This window comes from Homo sapiens, chromosome 11 (assembly GCF_000001405.40).
Source record: "Homo sapiens chromosome 11, GRCh38.p14 Primary Assembly".
NCBI lineage: Eukaryota > Metazoa > Chordata > Mammalia > Primates > Hominidae > Homo > Homo sapiens.
The window spans coordinates 48,210,605-48,228,996 of NC_000011.10; the positions used below are offsets into that span (position 1 = coordinate 48,210,605).

The window sequence follows — 18,392 nt, forward strand, 5'->3', positions numbered from 1 at the left end:
ACCAGAATTAAAAAATCATTATTTAGTTGCTTCCTGTAGTTTAGTTTTTTCTGTTTCTCAATAGTTGATCCAAAGATTGGCCAGGGGATTGGTTTCCTGAATCCTTCCTTTTGTAATTTATCCACATCAACATAGGCTGTTCATTTTATGAAAGATCACAGGACCCCGGGGAATTTTGTTGTGTGGAAACAAGATTTACTTGTTCATTGGCAACAAAAATCATAAAATCAAGATCACTAGAAAGGAATCCCAGGGTCATGGAAAGAGCACTTATTTGTACCTCAGCAACTTGATTAATAAATAATGAGCTGTGTAACTTTGAAAGGTCAATTAAATTCTCTGGCCCTTTATTGCATCATCTGAAAACTAAGGATATTGAATTGATGGTCTACAAATTTATTCAGCTCTAAAATTTCTTTGATTTCACCTGATGCCTTAGCTAAGATGAAGTGGTTTAATCTGCTGGGGTGCTTTCAATGCAGATGCAGAAGCTGAGTGGAAGATTCTTGTTCTGAAGAGGGGCCTCCTGTGTTGCAAGTCACACTCCTTCAGTCCCGTCAGCCCTGGACACCCCTCTGAATGATGAGCACTTGCCACCGAGGAAGAAAATTTTCCTCAGCCTAGGGAGAAGGAGCCTCCCATTCCATTCCCTGTTCTAAGGCTGAATATTACCCAAGGAAGGTAGGTAATGCCCTATCCAGAAAGAGTTCTCAGGTTCACTGAGCATGAGTTAGAGGCGCCAAATCTCTGTGTGACCTAGGGTGAGTCGCTTTCCTAGGCTCAGTTTCTGACTCTGTAGAAAGGAGAGGCCTGGATAGGATGTGTCTTAAAGTTCTGCCCGGCTTTCACTTTCTGGGATTCCATGCAGTACCACTTGGGGGTCCAAAGGGGTGGTGGGAAGGAGACCTTGTGATGTGGCTTTGAGCTCATAGCAATGGGTCTTCCAGGCTCTCTCTCACTTACTGCTTCGTTCCTGTTGTACTTCTCTCACTGGGGCTTCACGTTAGAGGATACAATTCTACCTAGTTAGTGTTTAGATGATAATTTTCCAACCTAAGCTTTTACATGTAATCCATGACCCAATGGTGAGGGATTTATTTGGGAAAGTGCTGGAAAAAAGAGGTGGTAATTTATTATCAAATAGCTGCTTTTATCTTGGGGAAGGTGGAAAGAGAAAGCAGAAAGAAATGTAAATAAATACCAGAAAATCTGAGCTAAGAAAAGCTACTATTTATGGAAAGTTTTGTATTTGCTGGGCAACCCTGTGAAGTACTTTATATATTTTATCTCACATCTAATTCTTGCAACAACTATGCCAGATATAAATTGCTACTCTATTGAAAAAAAAACTGTTAATAAGGGCACATGATAGGTGAGCGGTAGAGCTAAGAGTTGGCTCCCAATTTCAACACCCACCCTCTTTACCACTGCTTTAGACCAATTCCTGAGAAGAGTGAAAGGCAGCTTAGCCAGGGGTCCTTGCTTTGTTTTCATCTGTCCTTTAGAGGACGCTGAACCATGAACTATTTCCTCCACTAAAAGGCAGGTCACTTGCCCTTCTGGATTCATCACCTCTGTGCTCTCACGATGACTTCATTAAGCCATCTGACATAATTGTATTAAATTCCCCTAATAGGCTTTTTTGTTTGTTTTTAAAATATATATCATGTGGCCCATTATGGTAACCTTCTCAGCATAAGGACTTATGATGTGTGCGTGTGTGTGTGTAAGAGATTTAGCACTTTAAGTGAGAACTGGGCAATTCATGTCCAAGTAACACTGGACAAAAGAAAGGACAAAAAATGTCTTCTGGAAAACATAATGATGTTAGGGTCCTCCCCACTCAGCTCATAGAAGATAATCTAGAAGTAGATAAAGTATCTCAATTGCAAAATTGCAGCATGTGTGACTTTGACCCAGTGCAGTTAAATGCTTATTTCTGAAATAAAAATGATCTACATTGTTCATAATTTTATATACTTGGTGAGAAAGAGTCTCAGGTAGGTTATAAGAGGTCAACAGACTTAAAAGAAAATGTAGAGAGATAGCATTAAAGAATCTAGTTTTTTTCTTATCAATCTACTGGTTAATCAGTTTATCATCAACCAAGGGTCTACATATATACTGTGTACCATCTGTGAGGCTGACATTTAGGTGCTGTGTGGGTTCAAGGCGTAACAAACTTCAACTCTTTTTCTAACGACAAACAGATGACTGTAATGCCACAATGAGAGAGAGAAAAAAAGAGACTGTATAAAGATAAAGTGTGATGCATTTTGTGCTTTCAACTGTAGGTGGTAGAATAACTTCATTTATGTATTTAAAAATTCAATTAAATGAACATTTGCCGAGAAGTTATTTGGAGGATTCAGAGATGAATAAAGTCAGCAAAGAAGACAGATACAGAAACAAAAATGACAATAAAATATGCTAACTACTTCAGTAGAAATATGTAAAAAACATGGAAGAAGGCTGGGCATGGTGGCTCCCACCTGTAATCCTAGAGCATTGGGAGGATCACTTGAAACCAGGAGTCTGAGGCCAGCCTGGGCAACATTGTGAGATGCCATCTCTACAAAAAAATTAAAAAATTACCTGGGCCTGGTAGCATGCACTTATAGTCCTAGCTACTGAGGAGGCCAAGGCAGAAGGATCCCTTAAGCCTAGGAGTTCAAGATTACAGTGAGCTATGATCATGCCACTGCACTCCAGCCTGGTTGAAACAGTGATACCTTGTCTCAAAAAAGTAAAACAACAACAAAAGCAGGCAAGAGGTGTTTCCTGGCAGTGCAGCGATGGGTGGTGTTTGACCTGAGTATTAAAACAAGAAGAAAAGTTAGAGAGTCAAGGCATGTGCACCAACCAAGCAGAGGGATTAGTTTATGCAAAGAGACAGTTTTTTAGAATGATATATCATTCAGAATGGCTGGAGTACAAGCTCCAGTTGAGAGTGATGGCAACTGAATATAGAAAGATGAACAAGCTCCAGTTCTGGAGAGTCTTAATGTCATGCTGATGGTATTGGATTTAATCTCGTAGTCAGTGGAAAACCGTTGCTAGATTTCAAGTCAATGCATGACTTGATCAGATTTGCATTTTAGAAGTATAACAATCATAATAACTTACATTCTTTGAGGGCTTGCTATGAAATGAATACTGTGTGCCTTCTTGCATTTAGCAGAAGGATGACTTAAACTGATTTCCAGAGTTGAGAGCAGAGATAAATAGTAACCAGAGAAAGCTTCCTAGACAGCGGACCTTGTAGACTAGCTGGCACTTGGAGAGGGAAGCAAAAAGGGGTGATACATCAGGTAATGTGAAAAGTAGGAAAGATTCACCTGTGTTGGGGATCAACTTGTATTTATGAGAAGGTGAGGAGACCTCTGAATAGAACTGAGATTGTGTGCGGTTTAGTGCCCCGTAAAGTGGGTTCGAAGGGGCCTGTGGAGGTCCTGTAGAGGTTTCTAAAAGTCAGATGGAAGAATTTAGGATGGATTACCAGCCAACAGGGAGACAATGGCAATTTCTGAATGACTTGGAACTGAGGGAAGAGGAAGAATTTCTAACGTGAGTATGTAGAATAGACTGGGGATGAAGACTGGGGATGTCTGGGGACAGATGAAGTATGTAGGTGTCTGCAGTCATCCTCATGTGAGTTTATGTCCTACTTGAAGATGGCAGCTGCAGGAAGACAGAGGAGGAAACTGGTGAAATCAACAGGACATAAAGATTGTGTAAATATGACAGGTGGAGGAGGCATGAATTAGATGTGACTCCATGGTTTCAATCCTGAGGGACAGGGAAAATGATGGTGCTGCTATAAGGCCCAGTGTGAGAGGGGTTTCTTCAGCTCACCTGCGCTGGAAGAGAATGACAGATTCCATAGCTTGGTCTCACCAGCTGCAGTTCTGCCTCCCACCAAAATCCTTGCCTTTGGGTAAAGTAGGAGAGGGGAATCCCTGAGTCTCACACTCTGCGCAGGATCCTACATGGTTTCTTGGTCTTGCATGATCCAGAAATGGTGGAAATGGAACATTCCCAATAATGTAGAGTTTCTAATGATGCTCCTGCTATTCACAGGGTGGGATTAGTAAATGAATTTGGCCAAGTTTTGTATTGACCATAGGTCTTGATGCTATTTCTCCAAGGCCCTGGGGTGGCTAACCCCTTTCTCCTCCAGCTGAGGTGTGGTGGCTCTCCACTACCCTTATTTACATAGGCTCGGTTTCAGCTATGGCTCAAACACTCGCAAGCTATGTTTCTTTGGACAAGTTACTAAACTTCTGTAAGCCTCATTTCTCTCATCTAATAATTAGCTACCTCAAAGAGGTACAGGAAGAATTAAATGAGGGGATGACTGTAAGATGCTTATCACAGTCTAGCACACAGTAGACCCGGAATACACAGCAGCAGCATCTGCAGTTGTTGTGGTTGTTAGGAAGACAATGACAATGAAGATGGTAAACATCTGGTAACCACCATGTTCACCATCTTCATCATCATCCTAACAACCACATGATGGCAAACATGAGCTAACAAGATGCTCTAGTTCCTCCAGGCCACCAGACCCCTTGGCAGCCTTCTTGTGTTGTTTTTGAAGCTTCCCTTATTTCTATTCCTCTACACCGGTAAGAGAGTCCCATCTTGCTTTCTCTTTCCCTTTCAGTTGTTTTCTTGGGTACCTCTTTTTTTTTTCTTCACCAATTAATACTCCACTTCATCTCCAGTTTTAGCCAAGCTCCTTACTGAGCATCTTTCAGCAGATTTTTACCTTGTGTTTCTCTTCAAATTTTCACTATGAGAGAAATTGGGGAGGAAAAAGTATTGAATATTTTCAAATGGAAGCACAAGTGGAAGAAGGAAAAGTAAGGTGAATAAGAGATACTTCAAAATAATTTTATTTTATTTAATATTTTTTGAGACGGAGTTTTGCTCTTGTCACCCAGGCTGGAGTGCAATGGTGAGATCTTGGCTCACTGCAACCTCCACCTCCCGGGTTCAAGTGATTATCCTGTCTCAGCCTCCTGAGTAGGTGGGATTACAGGTGCCCACCAGCATGCCCGGTTAATTTTTGTATTTTTAGTAGAGATGGGGTTTCACCATGTTGGCCAGGCCGATCTTGAACTCCTGACCTCAGTTGATCCACCCACCTCGGCCTCCTAAAGTGCTGGGATTACAGGCCTGAGCCACTGCTCCCGGCCCGAGATACTTCAACATAGTTTTGAAAGCAGAGAAAATCTTGAAGTTTTTCTCTCCTTCTTTTCATAAATGTGTTGTTTAATCATTTGAAGTTACAAGCCTCTTCAGGCTAGAACCATGTTCCATTCTCCTTTCCTATGTCCTGAGTTGCCTAGGCCTGTGGTAGGTACTTAATAAAATCTTTGGTTTAAAGAGTTATTTTAAAAGAAATCCTGCACCTTCTGCTGACAAAAATGTTTGCTAATGGCAAGCAAACTGGAAGACAGAAACAAGCAAAGTGGTGTTGTCCATATGTTATATTCAAACTATTGTTTGATAGGGAGCTATTCTCCAAACAACTTCTGGATGTTCACTTAGCTCTCAGCTGCCAACATTTTCTCAAAATGGTTGTAAAATTCATGAAGCTATAGGACTGGGCAAAAACCATAGGGTCTGAAAGAATTCAGAAACTTACATAGTTCATGTAATGAAAACATCAAAGATATTCCCTAAAATGGAGATGTTTCACTTAGATTGGCATTTCTGGGGAGTAAATAAATGGAGGAAACAAAAGAGTCAGGAGCAGAAGGTCACTATACAATCTCTAACACAAAGACATGACCAGAGAAAATGGAGAATAGGAGAAATGTTAGTAATTAATATAAATGGTTTTCATGCTGAAAGCGGTAATTTTTTTTACTTAAAGTAATGTATGAGTTGGAATAATATGACCTGGGAGGCTTGGCTAATTCACAAATTCTCTGAGCCTCAGTTTTCTTACTTGTTATATGGGGATCATAGAGTTTTTGTGGGGCTGCTTGACCAGTGTCTTGCATAGGGTAGGCTATTGAGCACCAAATGAATAAACATTGACTATATAAATAAATAAACAAATGAGTCAGAAAATATGCATAAAAGGGTTTTATTAACAAGCAAGTGCTAAATAAACATGAAGGATTAGCGTTATGATTGCATGTGCTTTGTCACAGGGCTCTTCTCTGAGATCTGTCTTCTCTGAGTGGAATCCATGGCCAGTACAAGTAATGTGACTGAGTTGATTTTCACTGGCCTTTTCCAGGATCCAGCTGTGCAGAGTGTATGCTTTGTGGTGTTTCTCCCCGTGTACCTTGCCACGGTGGTGGGCAATGGCCTCATCGTTCTGACGGTCAGTATCAGCAAGAGTCTGGATTCTCCCATGTACTTCTTCCTTAGCTGCCTGTCCTTGGTGGAGATCAGTTATTCCTCCACTATCGCCCCTAAATTCATCATAGACTTACTTGCCAAGATTAAAACCATCTCTCTGGAAGGCTGTCTGACTCAGATATTCTTCTTCCACTTCTTTGGGGTTGCTGAGATCCTTTTGATTGTGGTGATGGCCTATGATTGCTACGTGGCCATTTGCAAGCCTCTTCATTATATGAACATTATCAGTCGTCAACTGTGTCACCTTCTGGTGGCTGGTTCCTGGCTGGGGGGCTTTTGTCACTCCATAATTCAGATTCTCGTTATCATCCAATTGCCCTTCTGTGGTCCCAATGTGATTGACCACTATTTCTGTGACCTCCAGCCTTTATTCAAGCTTGCCTGCACTGACACCTTCATGGAGGGGGTTATTGTGTTGGCCAACAGTGGATTATTCTCTGTCTTCTCCTTCCTCATCTTGGTGTCCTCTTATATTGTCATTCTGGTCAACTTGAGGAACCATTCTGCAGAGGGGAGGCACAAAGCCCTCTCCACCTGTGCTTCTCACATCACAGTGGTCATCTTGTTTTTTGGACCTGCTATCTTCCTCTACATGCGACCTTCTTCCACTTTCACTGAAGATAAACTTGTGGCTGTATTCTACACGGTCATCACCCCCATGCTGAACCCCATCATTTACACACTCAGGAATGCAGAGGTGAAAATCGCCATAAGAAGATTGTGGAGCAAAAAGGAGAATCCAGGGAGGGAGTGAAAAAAGAGCTTAGGGATGAAAAAGTGATACAAAATGTATGTCTGATTACTCTCTGTTCTTGAAATGGATTTTGATTTTAGTGGGATATTCAAGAATGACAGAAACAAATATAAAGGCTTAATGATACTGCTGCTGTGATTCTGCTTAGTAGCCAAAGACACTTGGTATGCTGGTGTAATGTTTGAAGGACAGAGGTCAGATAGTCTCGCAGAGTCTTAGAGAACTTGATTGGCTTCATGATATCCAACAATATCATGGGCTTGGGTAATATGAAGCCTCAAACCAAGTGCAAATGCAAAGGAGAACATGTTGATAAATGTTTTTTAGATTAAGTCACTTCTTCCTGTTACCTCCTCCCTTCCTCACTTCTTTTCTTTCTCCCTTTTGCTCTTCCTCCTTCCTCCCTCCCTTCCTTCTTTTCTTCCTTCATTCTTTCTCCCCTCTTTGTTCAAACTCCCTCATGATAACAAACTCTATTTCATTAAAAAAGGAAACCAACCAGAGGAATTATCAGGGAATATTTAGGAAGGAGGGCACCAATCTGATCTACAATGTTGACAAGTATGTCTTTGAAAATTACATCCAGGGACTTTTCTTTTCTTCTGGTTGGCTCCTGGTATCTTGTACCATGGACCATCTGACCATAAGCCCCAGAAAAGTCCCTGGAGCATTTTTAGTTCTTGTGATATGTTTTCACAAGAGATGGTCCTTAAATCTGTCTGGTCTTTCTCACAATGTCCAACATTTGTAAAAAAATAATATCAAAATGACATAGATTCTACTTATCACTATGGAAAGATCAAGTCAAATATTTTCACAAATACAGTGTTTCACAAAAACATTGTTAGTCTTATCCAGATGTGAAAAATACAAAATGTTAGAAAATGCTTATTAGGCCTAACTTAAAGAATGAAGGGGAGAGTGATACTGTCCAAGCATACTTCTACTCCAGACCCTGTCCCTTGTTCTAAGTGACCATGCAAGGCCATTTCTTTTAATGCCTATTAGTATTTCTTGGTGAAGGGAGATGAGATCGTCTGTGTCTGCACTTTTGGTTAACTTCTCAGCATCTCTGCCTTACCCCATTGTTTCATATAATTGTACATAATTTATAGAATATCATAAAGTTGTTCCCTGTTGGCTTTAAAATTGCACATATTGGCATTGAATTTGCACAACATCCTCTGCTTTTTCTTGAGAATCAGGTGAAATAATTCATGCAGCTTCCCTAGCAGAGGGATGGAGTATCATGGGTGTGCTATATATCTTAGGGCTTTTTCCTTTCTATTATAGGTGCTGGTTGAACACGTAGGTAAATAGTGGTTTTAAAGGCACCAGCAAACTTCTCACTTCCCTTAGTGTTCCCATTAACCCTGTCCATAGACGACCATCATTAATCCCTGAGAAAATGTTGCTGCTTCTGCTTGGAATGACTTTACTTCCCTTTTCTGTATGGCAAAATCCTATACATTCTTCAAGACCTAGGTTCAAGTCATCTTCCTTATAAGACCTTCTCTGACTTCCCTCCTCTTTGGGTTGAATTTATGTCTCCTTTCTGCAGTCATTTTTACATATTATTGCCCTATCACTTCAATTCTGATTATTTGATGTGTTTGTCTCTCAATAGACTGTAAGCTCTCAAGGGCAGGACTGTCCACTGTCCCTTCTTCTTTGCAGCTCTAAATATCATGCACATAGTTGATACTTCTTAAGTGCATGTGGAATAACCAACCCTTTAGGCTCATGCACAATCCTTGCTATATTAATTCTTATAGGTTCCTTTTGAACACTTTCATGGTGAGGAGCACATCTTCCTGTTGAAATTTTAAGAGCTCAGGCTCTGACATTTGTTAGGCTGTTCCAATTGCCTGTGAGCCACAACCCAGGATCCAAAGTACTTAACTTCCCTGAACAACTGTTTATGCATGAGTATAATGACTAACAATACTATGAAGTTTATAAGATTATTCTGGCTGGGTGTGGTGGCTCACGCCTGTAATCACAGTGCTTTGGGAGGCTGAGGCAGGTGGATCACTTGAGGTCAGGAGTTTGAGACCAGCCTGGACAACATGGAGAAACGCTGTCTGTACTAAAAATTAGCCAGGTATGGTGGCACGTACGTGTAATCCCAGCTACTCGGGAGGCTACGGCAAGAGAATCACTTGAACCTGGGAAGCGGAGGTTGCAGTGAGCCAACATAGCACCACTGCACTCCAGCTTGGGTAACAGAGTGAGACTTAGCCTCAAAAAAAAAAAAAAAAAAGAAAGAAAGAAAAAAAAGGGATTATTCTGAATATTAAATCAGATAATATACCTGCAAAGCTTTTAGAACAGAACATGGTCATCAATAAATATTAGCCATCATCATCTTCATCATTAGAACTGATTATTAATTTTATTTTGTGTGATGACTGCATCTCACAATGATCATTCTGTCCTGTAGAGCTACTCAGAATAGGCCTTGATTCCACCCCAAAAGTGTTCAAGCATTCTAAGGCAGTTCAATAGACCTTCTCTGTCGCATGCCACGTTGCTTCTCTGAACGTAAACATTCTCTGTTAGGCCATCTACCTGGTGCATCATAGGTACTCACTTAGTATTTGTTAAATAGATGTTGACTGTAAAATAGCTTCCCTATAATCTTTTATGCTAATGCTTTTATATCTTGTTAATGTATATTTTAAAGCATTTGCTCCAGAATGAAACACAGTGAAGGCACCCTTCCTTTCTCTTGATATCTTGCTTGTATTAAAGCAGGCTAGGACTTTAGGTTGCAGGTTGTGGTAGGAGTCCCTTACTCATGGGCAGGTTTGGTTTCCTCTCTGAGAACTATGGATAGAACACCATCAGTGAACTCTGAGTGGTTGGATACTGCACAGGCAGATAATATCTATTCTAATTGAATGGTCAAAATTCTTAAGGATCATGTCACCTACTCTCAACCCTCAAGAGAGTTGAGACTTAGGTCTGTTGAGAGCTGATTACTCACTTTGTTCTGGCCTTGCTGCAAGAAGCACATAAGTTAAAGGAAAACATTTTTTCATTGTTTTAAGAGACAGAGAATGTCATAAAATTTTAAAAATGTCTTCTCAATGAACAGAAGTAGTAATAATCTAATTATACCACTTAGCACTAGAGAGCATGTAGTTAGCTCTTGGTTGTTGATTTTATCACAACATTAAAAATGTATTTTTAAGAGAATCAATATAACATGCTTTCTTTAAAGAAAAACTAGTAGAGTGCTGTAAACTACTCAGATACATAATTTTGTATCCTTTGTCCATTAATTATTTGTATTCATTTAGGTATAGGTTTGACTGCATATAACAGGGAAAAAAGCAACTTTTAATGAGATAGAGTTAAAAAAGTTCAGAGGTTGAAAGTCCAGCTCTGATGGAGATATTCTATATCTGTGCAGTTCAATATGGCAATGCTTCTGAGCATTATGGTATAGGGAAAAAATATCGTAGTGTCTGTTGAGCACTTGAAATATGGCTAGTGAGACCCAGGAAGTGAATTTTAAATGTATTTACTTTAAATAAGTTAAGCCTCAATAGCCACATGTGGATGACATATTGGACAACACAACTCTAGCTTTGCATTTCTATTCCAGGGGACAGAAGCAGAGAAAGGAGGCGGAAAAACTGATCACTTTCCCTTTAGATTTTCCAAAAGTGCCATATAGCACTTTTGCTTTCATCTTGATAACGATTAGTAGCATGGTGAAACCTAATTTCAAAGGGGGCAGGGAACTATAATTTTTGTTTTGTTTGTTTTTTTTTGAGACAAAGTTTCACTCTGTCACCCAGGTGGAGTACAGTGGTGCCATCTTGGCTCACTGCAAACTCTCCCTCCTGGGTTCAAGCGATTCTCGTGCCTTAGCCTCCTGAGTAGATGGGACGACAAATGTGTGCCACCACGTCTGGCTAATTTTTGTATTTTTAGTAGAGACAGGGTTTCACTATGTTGGCCAGGCTGGTCTCGAACTCCTGGCCTCAGGTGATCCATCCCTGTCAGCCTCCCAAAATGTTAGAATTACAGGCTTGAGCCACCACACCCTGCCAACTATAATCTCTTATAGTGTGTGGAGTTGTGTGCAGTGAAAACTCAGGGTTCTGTTCTGTTCCTAAAGAGGAAGAGAATAGGTGTAAGGATTGGCGTATAGTCTCAGGCACTTTACACAATTTCCGTGTAATTAAAATTTTTTCATAAATGTGGTTTGCAATATCACAGAGTCTCATTGTTGCCTAATTCACTTAATTATTCACTCATTTCAGGGCTTTTAAGGTCATTTAATAATTTACTCAACAAGACTCACTGAGCATATATTACATGCCAGGTGTTGTTCTAGAGATGTGGTGGTACGTAGGCCAGAGACCTTTCCTGCCTTCATGGAGATTGCATTCTAGATAGACATTCTGTTTTCTGAAGCTGCTGTGGTCTGGATCAGCATTGCCAATAGAACTTTCCATGATAATGGAAGTGTTCTTATCGTGTGAATACACGCTAGTCCCTAGCCATGTGGCTACTGAGCCCTTGAAATATTTCTAATACGACTAAAAAATGAAATTTTAAATTTTAGTTAATTTAATTTTAATTAACTAAAATGTAGATTTAAATAGTCACACATGACCAGTGGCTACCAAACTGGGCAGCAAAAGTCTAGAGCCTTCAGTGTTTACTTCTGCTTCAAACTTGTACCTCTTAATCAGGGTCAGCAGCAAGACTGCCCTCGTCCCTGGCACAGTGAAGGCTCTGTGGCTTTAATTTCAGGCTTTCACTAGCCAGCTCTTCTAACTCATCCTCACATGGTCATCGGCTCACTACTCTTCACCCCATTGAGGTGCCAAGGTGGCTGGAGAGAAGGGGCACAGCGCCAGCCTGTGCCATTCCCAGTCCACCTTGCCCCGTTGTCTCTCCACCTGCACTTCAGGAATGAACTTCAGGCCTGTGTGACTTCGTGCCTCATGATTAGTAACTTCTTACAAGGACCTTTTGCAGCATTTGACACAGCTAACTAGTCTCTCCTGGAAACTATACATCTTTGTTTCCATGATCCCATTCCCTCTTGGTTCCTTTCCCAGCACACTGGCTACTCTTCTCAGTTTCCTTTGCTGATGCCTTCTTATTTTTCCAATTTCTAAGCATCTGCCTGACCCAGGGCTTCATTTTCAAACCCCTGCCCTACCTACTCGAGGAGTTCCCACTGAGTCTCCCAGCTTTAAATAACATTCATGAGTTTATGACTCTCAAATTTATAGCTTCAGCCTGAACGTCCTCCCTGAACTGTGATGTATATACTTAACTGTCTACTCAACACCTCTGCTGGGGATTTTGAAAGGTAACTTCACTTAATGTGTCTAAAAACGGAACCATCTTCCCCACTTCCCGGCTTTTCCCACAGTCATTCCCAGCTCAGTAAATGCAAGTCTGGTCCAATTGCTGAAACCTTGGAGGTGTCCTTGATTTCTCTCTTTTTCTCACTCCTTGCAATAAAAGACCAGCAAATCTTGTTAGTTCTACCTTCAAAATATGTCCAGAATCTGACTACCTCCTAAAATCTTCATTGCTAGCATGATGGCTCAAGTCATAGTCATCTCTTGACTGGCTTACTGTAATGGTCTCATGACTGGTTTCATTGTATTTCCCACTTGACTTCATTATTCTCAAGACAGCAGCCAGAGATCCTAGTAAGAGATGACCTTTCCTTACGACCTTATGTAAATAATATCCACCAGCATTCCCCATCATCCTCAATCTGTTTTATTTTTCTCTATAGGACTTATTATTATCTGATTTGTCTATCAAGTTTTATTTATTTTCTATCTCCATTTCCATTATGTGCTGGTGGGGATATGAAGGGTGCAACCTCCACAAGTCTAGGCATTTTTTTTCTTCACTGCCAAATCTCCAACACCTAGAACAGTGCTTGGCACATAATAGGACTCAATATTATTTGTTGAAGAATGAATGAGTGGGCAAATGACATCTCTTTCAGAAGAAATTCTCATCATATTACATGATTATGACCCACTTTCATCATTGATGGGGAGACTGAGGCACAGGGAGACTAAGCGATTTCTGTTTTTATTTTTTTAAAGACAAGGTTTCATTCTGTGGCCCAGGCTGGAGTGCAGTGGTGTATTCATAGCTCACCGCATCCTTGAACTCTGGGGCTCAAGGGATCCTCCCACCTCAACCTCCTGAGTAGCTAGGATTGCAGGCACATGCCATCATGCCCAGCTAATTTTTTAAACTTTTTTAAAATTTTTTTTGTAGAGATGGGGTCTCACTATGTTTCCCAGTCTGGTCTTGAACTCCTGGGCTCAAGTGATCCTCCTGCCTCAGCCTCCCAAAGTATTGAGATTACAGTTGTGAGCCACTGCACCTGGCCCCAGACTAAGTGACTTTATATGTGAATACATGAATGTTAGAATTGGAAGGCACAATGAAGATAATCTAGACGAATGCTGTCATCTTATATAGAAGTGGAAATAGGGGAGGATGAAAAGGAGAAATGGCATGGTCATAGTTAACCACTGGGCCCAAGCTAGCACCCAGGTAGCCTGACTTCCTGTCCAGTCCTCTTTTTCTTCTCTATTTACTCTTGTATTTATTCTCAGTAGTCAAATCTGGGCAAAAAGTCCTCTTCATGTCTTACTTACAACTTTCTTCTCCTACTACCTTGTTATTGGTTGCAGAAACTTTATGGAAATCTCATTAAACTAATTGAAACCGATTTCATACTTTTCCTCAAGTTATTTGACAAAGTTTTACTCTAGAGAAGAGAAATTCCATGGGGAAGTCAGTCTCTTGATGATAGTATGTGGCTTACTTTGTTTTAAATAGTTCAAGGATCTTGACATCTAATCATAGCCCTTGGACTTTGAGTGGGGGGATAGGTTTTCTACATCAAAACAGGATTGGAGAATCTCTGGGTTAGCTGCTTCCTATGGTGTTTGCTTATTTCTTAGATGTTCTAAATTCAAATATTAACCATGATGCAGATCCCCTGAATTTTCCTTATTTGTGTGACTTATCTTAAACAGCATCTACTTTGTTTTCTAAAAGCTCCCAGGACCGTTGGTGATTTTTCCTTGGGGACAAGTTCTGATCATTGAATTGCAGTAGCAACCACCATCCAGTACCATTAGAAGACAGCCTAATGTTGAAAGAGCACAGGTTCTGAGTTAGTAATCTGGCAAATAACTAGTGTGTGGCTTTGAGAAGCAGGTTAATTCTGCCCTGCCTCTGTTGCCTCATTTATAAACAGAGGAAGTTGGAGTAAAATCTCTCTACCTATTGTAGATTGTAATATTTTTCAATTGTGCTTTCTAACTGGTAATTCCATTTGAATTTTCTTATTGTAATAGTGGCTTTCGTTTGACTTATGTCTTTCTCCCCTAGGTTTACATATAGAAATTTTGCTTGCAAGAAACAGAGGCCTGTTCAAAGTAGCTTAGACAAAAAGAAGAATTTATTTGAGGAATAAGGGGCTGTTCCTGGTATCCAAGTACACATGGGCTGAATTAGGGTTTAAAAAGTCAAGGATCGGGGATACTCTCTGCATCTCTGAGATGCCATGGTCTCTTTCTGTACTACTTTTCTTGCTCTAGAATACTCATTTCTCAATGTTTAAAGGTTCAAGGACTTTAGTTAAACTTCAGCATGTGCCCTTACATGAGGAATTCTGACACACACTGATTTGTTTCCTTCTGTCCACATCACTGACTTTTTTTTTTTTTTTGAGATGGAATCTCGCTCTGTCGCCCAGGCTGGAGTGCAGTGGCGCTATCTCGGCTTACTGCAGGCTCCAGCCCCCGGGTTCAGGCCATTCTCCTGCCTCAGCCTCCCGAGTAGCTGGGACTACAGGCTCCCGCCATCACGCCCGGCTACTATTTTGTATTTTTAGTAGAGACGGAGTTTCACGGTGTTAGCCAGGATGGTCTCGATCTCCCGTGATCCGCCCACCTTGGCCTCCCAAAGTGCTGGGATTACAGGCGTGAGCCACCGTGTCCGGCCGACTTTTGTTTTGTTGATTCTGTTCTTTACTATTCAAGGTATATTTTTAGTTCTTTAAAATTATATTTTAAAAACATTTCACATATGAAATTGGAGATAATGGGAAAAAATGGGGATACATTTTATAGCAGAGAATCAAAGTGTATCAAATCATATATATATGAACTATATATGAACTTACACACACATATACACACACACATACACACACACACACACACACACACACACACACACACACATATATATATATATATTTTTTTTTTTTTTTTTGAGATGGAGTCTCGCTCTGTTGCCCAGGCTGGAGTGCAGTGAATCTCAGCTCACTGCAACCTCCGCCTCCTGGGTTCAAGCGATTTTTGTGCCTCATCCTCTTGCCTAGCTGGGACTACAGGCATGCACCACCATGCTTGGCTAATTTTTGTATTTTTAGTAGAGACGGGGTTTCACCCTATTGGCCAGGCTGGTCTCAAACTCCTGACCTCAGGTGATCTGCCCGCCTTGGCCTCCCAAAGAGCTGCTATTAGAGACATGAGCCACTGAACCTGGCCCATGTATATATATTAATCTTACTTCTGAGGGATCAGATGTGGTGAAAAATTCCCAGTGGGCACCTTCATCTAGAGAATATTGTTTTGAATCACATGATATTGTTAGCTTAAGGTATGTATTGTGATCTGTATTCTTCTGTGTAATCTGATGAGTGTTTAGATGTATAAGAGGTTCTCTCAGTAGGTGTTTGTTCCAGCGAAGTAGCTTAGAGAGAAACCTCCCCTTTTTTTTTAAAAAAATGTTAAATTTAATTTGTTTTTATTTCTTCTAAAAAAACCTGGGATACATGTGCAGAATGTGCAGGTTTGTCACATAGGTATATGTGTGACATGGAGGTTTGCTGCACCTATTGACCTGTCCTCTAAGTTCCCTCCCCTCACCCCCAGCCTGCAACAGGCCCTGGTGTGTGTTATTCCCCTCTCTGTGTCCATGTGTGAGAGAAACCCTTACTCTTGCTGCCATATGCTTTGCTGCTGACTGCCAATCCAGGACCCTGGATTGAGAGTCAGAAAGATTGGTCCTGGGTCCCAGAATTCACTACTTTCTGTGTGACCTTGGGCAAATAACCATTTCTCTTCAACTTCATTTTCTAATAATAAAATTAAATACGTTAAAATTGGCTGGGTGCAGTGGTTCATGCCTGTAATCCCAGCACTTTGGGGAGCTGAGGCGGGAGGATCGCCCAGGAGTTTGAGACCAGCCTGGACAATGGGGTGAAACCACATTTCTACAAACAGTATAAAAAATTATCCAGGCATGGTGGTGCACACCTATAGTCTCAGCTATCTGGGAGGCTGAAGTGGATCATCTGAGCCACGGAGGTTGAGGCTGCAGTGAGCTGTGATCACACCACTACACTCCAGCCTGGGTGACACTGTGTCTCTCTGTAGACACACACACACACACACACACACACTCACACACACACACGTGTTAGATTGCTAATATTTAATGCTGAATGAATACACAGTGGCTTAAAAATGAGTGAGTAATAAGTGTATTATAGAGTGGCTTACACTCTCTAAAGTGCTAGAAATGAGGTGAATTAGTGTTGTGATCATTGTTTTATTGCAGGGCACTCACTGCCTGGCATCCAGCACACCTGCATTGAATCCATGGCCAGTACAAATAATGTGACTGAGTCAATGATCACCAGCCTTTTCCAGGATCCAGCAGTGCAGAGAGTGTGCTTTGTGGTGTTTCTCCCCGTGTACTGGCCATGGAGGTGGGCAATGGCCTCATCGTTCTGACGGTCAGTATCAGCAAGAGTCTGCATTCCCCTGTGTACTTCTTCCTGAGCTACCTGTCATTGATGGAGATCAGTTACTTCACTGTTGTCCCTAAATTCATCACAGACTTACTTGCCAAGATTAAAGCCATCTCTCTGGAGGGCTATCTGGCTCAGATATTCTTGCACTTCTTTGGCATCCCCTGGATCTTTCTGCTCCCACTGATGACCAATGACCAATATATGGCCAACTGCAAACTTTATTACTACACAACCATCATGAGCTGCCTGTCTGTCACCTTCTGGTGGCTGGTTTCTGGCTGAGGGGCATAATTCACTCAATGGTTCAGATCCTTGTCTCTGTCCAATTGTTCTTCTGTGGTCCCAACATGATTGACCACTCATTCTGTGACCTCCAGGTCTTATTCAAGCTTGCCTGCACTGACACCTTTGTGGAGGGGGTTATTGTGTTGGCCAACAGTGAATTAGTATCTGTCTTCTTCCTTATCTTGGTGTCCTCTTAATATCATCATCCTAGTCAACTTGAGGAACCATTCTGCAGAGGGGAGGTGCAAAGCCCTCTCCACCTGTGCCTCTTATCTTGTATTTTGAACTTGCCATTTTCCTCTACGTGTGACTCTCCTCCACCTTTACTAAAGATAAACTCGTGGCTGTATTTTACGTGGTCATCACCCCCATGCTGAACCCCTTCATCTACACGCTTGGGAATGCAGAGATGAAAATCACCATGAGGAGATTGTTGGGCAGGACAGTGAACTCAGGAATGGAATAAAATGACAACATGAAAAAAAAATAGCACAAAGAGAGAGACCATATATGCAATCTGATTTTAGTTAACTATGAGGGAATAGAGCAAAAGTTAGCTTATTTATATTTTTTGTTGTATTTCGGATGAGCTGCTTATACTCCATGGTATCAATCAGAGACAGCTAATAGTTGTTAGTATTTTGGAGAATGTTGAAAACTTTCTTCTCTTCTTCAGTAGTCCATAGTGCAAAGTGCATAGACTTTTAAGGAGGAATTATCTAGATTGGAAACCCCTACCCTGTCATCTGTTAGCTGTGTGACCTTAGATTTATTTCAGTTCACCTCTTGGTGATAGCCCACTGTGGGATGTGGAAAGATTATGGCCCTTGGAGACAAAAGTTCATGTTTTGCTTCATCCCTTCTTACTGAGAGGTGACAGCATGCTGGCAGCCTTCGATTGCTCTCAGCACCTCCTGGGCCTTGGTTCCCACTCTGGCCACGCTTGAGGAGCACTTCAGCCCACCGCTGCACTGTGGGAGCCCCTCTCTGTGCTGGCCGAGGCCGGAGCCGGCTCCCTCTGCTTGCGCAGAGGTGTGGAGGGAGAGGAGTGGGTGGGAACCGGGGACTGCGCGTGGTGCTCATGGGCCAGCACGAGTTCTGGGTGGGAGTGGGCTCGGCGGCCCCGCA

The 18,392-nt window shown here is 41.5% G+C and overlaps 1 protein-coding gene and 1 pseudogene across 1 annotated transcript; both read left to right on the plus strand.

Annotated features, from left to right (window-relative positions):
• Window positions 1-6,205: 6,205 nt before the first annotated feature.
• Window positions 6,206-7,135, plus strand: OR4B1 (olfactory receptor family 4 subfamily B member 1). The gene has a single exon (NM_001005470.1). It carries the CDS (start codon window positions 6,206-6,208, stop codon window positions 7,133-7,135), a length of 930 nt encoding a protein of 309 aa, NP_001005470.1.
• On the plus strand, window positions 16,826-17,728 carry OR4B2P (olfactory receptor family 4 subfamily B member 2 pseudogene; annotated as a pseudogene).

What these genes read in the sequence shown, in the direction of transcription:
- OR4B1 (NM_001005470.1), top strand. Translation starts at nt 6,206, where the DNA reads ATGGCCAGTACAAGTAATGTGACTGAGTTGATTTTCACTGGCCTTTTC.